This window comes from Homo sapiens, chromosome 12 (genome assembly GCF_000001405.40).
Source record: "Homo sapiens chromosome 12, GRCh38.p14 Primary Assembly".
Classification (NCBI taxonomy): Eukaryota; Metazoa; Chordata; class Mammalia; order Primates; family Hominidae; genus Homo; species Homo sapiens.
In genome coordinates, this window is record NC_000012.12 from 46973257 (window position 1) to 46981371 (window position 8115).

Below are 8115 nucleotides of genomic sequence, written 5' to 3' on the forward strand. Positions count from 1 at the left end.
GTGGATATCCAAGGAACTATTTAATTTCCAACTTAATAGTATCATGGGGAAAAAAGACAATAACAAAACAATTTTGAGTCAAATAAATGGTCTCATATGAATGGCATCTGCAATACCTTCAACAACTAGGCAGAAGATATATGATGCTATCATAGTTTTCTTTTAAAAAATCACCAAAGCAGTTTCATCTTTAACACCCTACCTAAGATTTCTAAATGATAGCCTATCAAATTATATCCCCATTAGGTATATAATAGCTCCTTTCTTACCTTAGATAAATATATTCTTGTTTCACAAGTTTTTTTAAAAGGCTTTGCTTGAAATTAAAATCTGACCAACAAACTAGAGCAGAGATAATTCCTCAGTGTCAATAGGCTTCCTTGGAAACTTACCCACATATAACCAATGCAGCTTCACTCGTGTATAGAATATACTGACAGAGAAAAAGAAAATACAGATGACATTACAATCATAAACACCCTATTTCCTGTTTTTAAAAAAACATGTCTTCAGAAGTGCTTTTTTTACAAAAATTTATTTTAAGTTCTGGGATACACGTGCAGAATGTGCAGATTTGTTCCATAGGTATACATGTGCCATGGTGGTTTGCTGCACCCATCAACCTGTCATCTAGGTTTTAAGCCACGCATAGATTAGGTGTTTGTCCTAATGCTCTCCCTCCCCTTTCCCCCAACCCCCGACAGGCCCCAGTGTGTGATGTTCTCCTCCCTGTGTTCATATGTTCTCATTGTTCAACTCCCACTTCTGAGTGAGAACATGTGGTGTTTGGTTTTCTGTTTCTGTGTTAGTTTGCTGAGAATGATGGCTTCCAGCTTCATCCATGTCCCTTCAAAGGACATGAACTCATCCTTTTTTATGGCTGCATAGTATTCCATGGTGTGCATGTGCCACATTTTCGTTATCCAATCTGTCATTGACGGGCATTTGGGTTGGTTCCAGGTCTTTGCTATTGTAAATAGTGCTGCAATAAAAATACATGCACATGTGTCTTTATAGTAGAGTAATTTATATTCCTTTGGGTATATACCAAGTAATGGGATTGCTGGGTCAAATGGTATTTCTGGTTCTATATCCTTGGGGAATCGCCACACTGTCTTCCACAATGGTTGAACTAATTTACACTCCCACCAACAGTGTAAAAGTGTTCCTATTTCTCCACAGCCTCGCTAGCAGCTGTTGTTTCCTGACTTTTTAATAATCACCATTCTAACTGGCATGAGATGGTATCTCATTGTGGTTTTGATTTGCATTTCTCTAATGACCAGTGATGATGAGCTTTTTTCATTTGTTTGTTGGCCACATAAATGTCTTCTTTTGAGAAGTGCCTGTTCATATCCTTCACCCAATTTTTGATGGGATTTCTCATTTGTTCTTTTTTTCCTGTAAATTTGTTTAAGTTCCTTGTAGATTCTGGATATTAGACCTTTATCAGTTGGGTAGACTGCAAAAATTTTCTCCCATTCTGTAGGTTGCCTGTTCACTTTAATGATAGTTTCTTTTGCTGTGCAGAAGCTCTTTAGTTTATTTAGATCCCATTTGTTAATTTTGGCTTTTGTCACAATTGCTTTTTGTGTTTTAGTCATGAAGTCTTTCCCCATGCCTATGTCCTAAATGGTATTGCCTAGGTTTTCTTCTAGGGTTTTTATGGTTTTGGGTTTTACAATTAATTCTTTAATCCATCCTGAGTTAATTTTTGTATAAGGTGTAAGGAAGGGGTCCAGGTTCAGTTTTCTGCATATGACTAGCCAGTTTTCCAAACACCATTTATTAAATAAGGAATACTTTCCCCATTGCTTGTTTTTGTCAGGTTCGCCGAAGATTGGATGGTTGTAGATGTGTGGTGTTATTTCTGAGGTCTCTGTTCTGTTCCATTGTTCTATATATCTGTGTTGGTACCAGTACCATGCTGTTTTGGCTACTGTAGCCTTGTAGTATAGCATGAGGTCAGGTAGCATGATGCCTCCAGCTTTGTTATTTTTGCTTAGGATTGTCTTGGCTAAACTGACTCTTTTTCGGCTCCATATGAAATTTAAAGTAGCTTTTTTCTAATTCTGCAAAGAAAGTCGATGGTAGCTTGATGGGAATAGCATTGAATCTATAAATTACTTTGAGCAGTATGGCCATTTTCATGATATTGATTCTTTCTATCCATGAATATGGAATTTTTTTCCATTTGTTTGTGTGCTCTCTTATTTCCTTGAGCAGTGATTTGTAGTTCTCCTTGAAAAGGTCACTCATGTCCCTTGTAAGTTGTATTCCTACATATTATATTCTCTTTGTAGCAATTTTGACGTGAGTTCACTCAAAATTTGGCTCTCTGCTTGTCTACTATTGGTGTATAGGAATGCTTGTCATTTTTGCACATTGATTTTTTATCCTGAGACTTTGCTAAAGTTGCTTATCAGCTTAAGGAGTTTTGGGGCTGAGACAATAGGGTTTTCTAAATATACTATCATGTCATCTGCAAAGAGAGACAATTTGACTTCCTGTCTTCCTGTTTGAATACGCTTTATTTCTTTCTCTTGCCTGATTGCCCTGGCCAGAACTTCCAATATTATGTTGAATAAGAGTGGTGAGAGAGGGCATCCTTGTCTTCTGCTGGTTTTCAAAGGGAATGCTTCCAGCTTTTGCCCATTCAGTATGATATAGGCTGTGGGTTTGTCATAAATAGCTCTTATTATTTTGAGATACGTTCCATCGATACTTAGTTTATTGAGAGTTTTTAGCATGAAGGGATGTTGAATTTCATCAAAGGCCTTTTCTGCATCTATGAGATAATCTTGTGGTTTTTGTCATTGGTTCTGTTTATGTGATGCATTATGTTTACTGATTAGCATATGTTGAACCAGCCTTGCATCTCAGGGATGAAGCCGACTTGATCGTGGTGGATAAGCTTTTTGATGTGCTGCTCGATTCAGTTTGCCAGTATTTTACTGAGGATTTTCACATCAATGTTCATCAGGGATATTGGCCTGAAATTTTCTTTTTTTGTTGCATCTCTGCCAGGTTTTGGTATCAGGATGACGCTGGCCTCATAAAATGAGTTAGGGAGGAATCTCTCTTTTTCTATTGTTTGGAATAGTTTCAGAAGGAATGGTACAAGCTCCTCTTAGTACCTCTGGTAGAATTTGGCTATGAATCCGTCTGGTACTGGGCTTTTTTGTTGTTGTTGGTGGTGGTGGTGGAGGTGGTAGGCTATTAATTACTGCCTCAATTTCAGAACTTGTTACTGATCTATTCAAAGATTCAACTTCTTCCTGATTTAGTCTTTGGAGGTTGTGTGTGTCCAGGAATTTATCTATTTCCTCTAGATTTTCTAGTTTATTTGCACATAGGTGTTTATAGTATTCTCTGATGGTAGTTTGTATTTCTGTGGCATCAGTGGTGATATCCCCTTTATCATTTTTTATTGTGTATATTTGATTCTTCTCTCTTTTCTTCTTTATTAGTCTAGCTAGCAGTCTAACTATTTTGTTAATCTTTTCAAATCCCCAGCTCCTGGATTCATTGATTTTTTAGAAGGGTTTTTGTGTCTCTATCTCCTTCAGTTCTGCTCTGATCTTAGTTATTTCTTGTACTCTGCTAGCTTTTGAATTTGTTTGCTCTTGCTTCTCTAGTTCTTTTAATTGTGATGTTACGGTGTCAATTTCAGTTCTTTCCAGCTTTCTGATGTGGGCATTTAGTGCTATATATTTCCCCCTTAACACTGGTTTAGCTGTGTCCCAGAGATTCTGGTACATTGTCTCTTTGTTCTCATTAGTTTCAGAAAACTTCTTTATTTCTGTCTTAATTTTGTTATTTACCCAGTAGTCATTCAGGAGCAAGTTGTTTCAATTTCCATGTAGTTGTGCAGTTTTGACTGAGTTTCTTAATCCTGAGTTCTAATTTGATTGCACTGTGGTCTGAGAGACTGTTATGATTTCCATTCTTTTGCATTTGCTAAGGAGTGTTTTACTTCCAATTATGTGGTCAATTTTATAAAGTGCTATGTGGCACTAAGAAAAATGTATATTGTGTTGATTTGGGGTGGAGAGTTCTGTAGATGTCTATTAGGTCCACTTGGTCCAGAGCTGAGTTTGAGTCCTGAATATCCTTGTTAATTTTTCTTCATTAATTAATTGATCTGTTCATTGATCTAATATTGACAGTGGGGTGTTAAAGTCCCCCATTACATTACAACTGTGTGGGAGTATAAGTCTCTTTGTAGGCCTCTAAGAACTTGTTTTATGAAACTAGGTGCTCCTGTATTGGGTGCATATATATTTAGGATAGTTAGCTCTTCTTGTTGCATTGATCCCTTTACCATTATATAATGCCCTGAAAGTGCTTTTTTTAAAAAAAAAAAAAAAAAAAAAAACAAACAAAAACCAGGTAAATAAGGACGTATACACATATAAACACTAAAGCATTAGCGCAAGACTTCTTAATGTGTGACCTTTAATTTATGTCTTTCTATCTAGCGGAATGAGCTCCAACCTTGATAGCTGAGGACTAAAGCAAGAACCAGGACAGAGGGAAAAAAAAGATTTTGTGTAGCACATAGAAGGTTGTGAGAGTTTCTCCCAATAGAAAAGAGTTCCTGCTGGAATTGGGATCTATCCTTTCAGAGTGATCAGTATTTTCTGAGTCTAGGATAAGAGCTGGAATTTTCCTGGAGGTAGATCTTCCTTTTGTTCTAGAAGGAACCACTCTGTGAGCCAGTTTAGTCATAGATCTATAAGGCTGTTTGTTGTCTGGGGGAAAGTCTCATGGAAAGCCCCAAACCAATAAAATGATATTAATGCAGATGTTTCAGAGTGACATGTTGAACACATTTTTTAGTGAAGTTCCTTGGCATGCAATTTTTGGCAGGACTAAGCCTTTGGGAAACCAGAACCACCATGAAGCTGCTTACACATTGGGCCCTCCTCCAGGACACCTGGCTAAGGGCAGAGAAATCAGCTAGTGCTCTGCTTACCAATCCATGAGTTGCTAGCCTTCCCAGAGAAAGGGCATCTTTTTATAATTTTTACATAAGCTAAGGTTTCTGAGAGACATTATACATACCGCTAGGCTATACAAGAAGAATCTGGGATCTGATCTGATCTTTACTGCTCACTAGACAAAGACTATGGAAAGAGAATAAACTGGGATTGGTTTAGAAGTACCTGAACTGTTTGATTTTGTTCAGTAGAGAGTTAACCCTGAATAACCCAGACTTAAGGAAATACATAGTCAACTGTTGAGAGTGTCTTATCTAAGCAGTGGGTGAGAGAGAAGGAGTGGGCAGACCATATGCTATAGTGGAGAGTGGGAGTTCCCCTAAATGAATGGATGTTCCTACTGCAGCGGATCATCCTGGAATAGGAAAGGAAACATATCTAGGACTGCGAAAGGAGGCTCTAGGTTTGTGAAAAACTGAACCCAGATTTCAGGTAAGGAGACACCAGCAAAGATCCATACAAGATGGCAGCAATTTGAAGATCAAGGAGAGAGAAGGTCACCATGGGATGAACCTGGGAATGGCACAAATAGTGGACTTAAAAATAGTCATAGATGCCGGGCGCGGTGGCTCACGCTTGTAATCCCAGCACTTTGGGAGGCCGAGGCGGGCGGATCACGAGGTCAGGAGATCGAGACCATCCTGGCTAACACGGTGAAACCCCTTCTCTACTAAAAAAAAAATACAAAAAAATTAGCCGGGCGTGATGGTGGGCGCCTGTAGTCCTAGCTACTCGGGAGGCTGAGGCAGGAGAATGGCGTGAACCCGGGAGGCGGAGCTTGCAGTGAGCCGAGATTGCGCCACTGCACTCCCGCCTGGGCCACAGAGCGAGACTCCATCTCAAAAAAAAAAAAAAAAAAAAAAAAAATAGTCATAGATATTTTTTGCCTACATTACAATCCATTCAGTAATCTCCAAGCCTTCAATGAAGTTTTCTTAAAAACCCCGACTTTCATAGCTATGTTTTGGAGAAAAAAAAAAGATGTCGGGAAACATATGTGCAGTGCCATTGTAAGGGAGAAGCCACTGCAACCTGAAGAAGCCAGCATCTGAGAGTGGAGAAGCAGTTTGGACCCAGGTGACTGGCTAAAGTGGCAAATGCAGGGAAACATTTGCGGAATAGAAGAATTAATTGAGGACTCTCAGAAATACTCGGTGAGGGCCCACTCCAGTGGCTCACACCTGTAATCCCAGCACTTTAGGAGGCCAAGGTGGGTGAATTGCTTGAGCTCAGGGCAACACAGCAAAATCCTATCTCTACAAAAAATACAAAAATTAGGCACGATAGCTCACATCTGTAGTCTCAGCTACTTGGGAAGCTGAGGTGGGAGAATCACTCAAGCCTGGGAGATGGAGGTTGCAGTGAGCCAAGACTGTGCTACTATACTCCAGGTTGGGTGACAGAGCAAGATCCTGTGAGAAAGAAAAGGGAAGGGAAGGGAAGGGAAGGGAAGGGAAAGGAAGGGAGGGAGAGAGGGAGGGAGGAGGAAGGGAGGGAGGAAGGAAGGAAGGAAAGAAGGAAGGAAGGAAGGAACAAGGGAGGGAAGGAAGGAAGGAACAAGGAAGGGAGGGAGGAAGGAAGGAAGGAGAAAAGGAGATAATTGATATGTTTAAATATAAAAAAATACTTCGCAAGAGGAACCAGATAACCTGGACTAAAAACAATTGTTCAAGTAGGAACTTGAATTAAATTAATTGGTATTAAAGGAAATATTGATCCTGGAAGGAGGGCTAAGTCATGGGGACATGTGAGATACTGAGGAAGAATGAATGGCTAGAAGGGAAAGGAATGTGGTATTGCTGACTCTGAAGTACCACAGAAAATTTTCTCTTAGCCCTTAAAAGGAAAAGCTGAAAGTTCCAGTCTTATAAAGGGAAAAACACATTGCTAGTTGTAATCTCATTTTCATTTCCTCTCTGTTATGACTGAAATATTGATTAATTATAAATACTGATGCAGAAGAATCAATATTCAGATTTAATAATTAACTATTTAAAAGTTAAAGTATATTCTTCTAAAACACATGCAAAGACCAAAAAAATTCAGGTTTTGTACCCTTACCTTTTCCTTTTTCTTTCTTACTTTATTTTTTTATTTTTTATTTTTTTGAGGTAGGGTCTTGCTCTGTCACCCAGACTGGAGTGCAGTGGTGAGATCACACCCTACTTCAGTCTTGACCTCCTGAGCTGAAAGTGATCCTCCCACCTCAGCCTCCCAAGTAGTTGGGACCACAGGTGCACACCACCATGCCCAGCTAATTTATTTTTACTGTTGGAGAGATAAAGTCTTGCTATGTTGCTCAGGCTGGTCTCAAACTCCTGGACTCAAGCAATCTTACAGCCTCGGCTTCCCAAAGTGCTGGGAGTACAGGCATGAGCCACCACACCTGGCCTGTACTCTTTTCTTTATCACTCTTTTGGTATTGACTAGGTATCTACCCATTTTCCTGTCTTCCGGTCATCTCAACTCAGATGCCTACAAAAAGCCAAAACTGCCTACAGTTTTAAAAATAAAATTAAAATTCTACTTCAGAAAATGCTGCACTATTTTATTTTAAATAAAATTGCATGTTACTTCATGATGATTAGGTCTAACCCAATCAGCAAAAGTCTTCTTAAAATAATAAAATCTGAAGAAAACAAGATGTAAACGCAAGAATACTTATTAGAATTATTAATACGTAATTTTCCTGGAATGCTAATAATCTAAAGTAATCTAAGGAAATGTTTATTTCATCAACTTGTGACTTAATCTAATTACGTTGATTGAAACTGTTAAAACTGTGCCAATAAAAGAAATATTTGTAATGAAATCATGTATTTACTATTTCCATTGTAACTGAACAATGCACAGAAAATTTCCCTCTAAAACACCACTGCCAAGCACTATGGGAACCACTTGTGTCTATTTACCTACAACATCCACGATACAACATCCATCTACAACATCCATTTAACATAAATCATGGATTTCAGAAAAGCTAATGTTTTTAATAAATGAGAATTGATTGTTAAATAAGACAACAGTAAAGCCACCGAAAGGTATATGCAAATTAGTCCATTAAGAGTATTTATTGTTATTTTATGTGAGCACACAGAACTAGAGCTAAAGT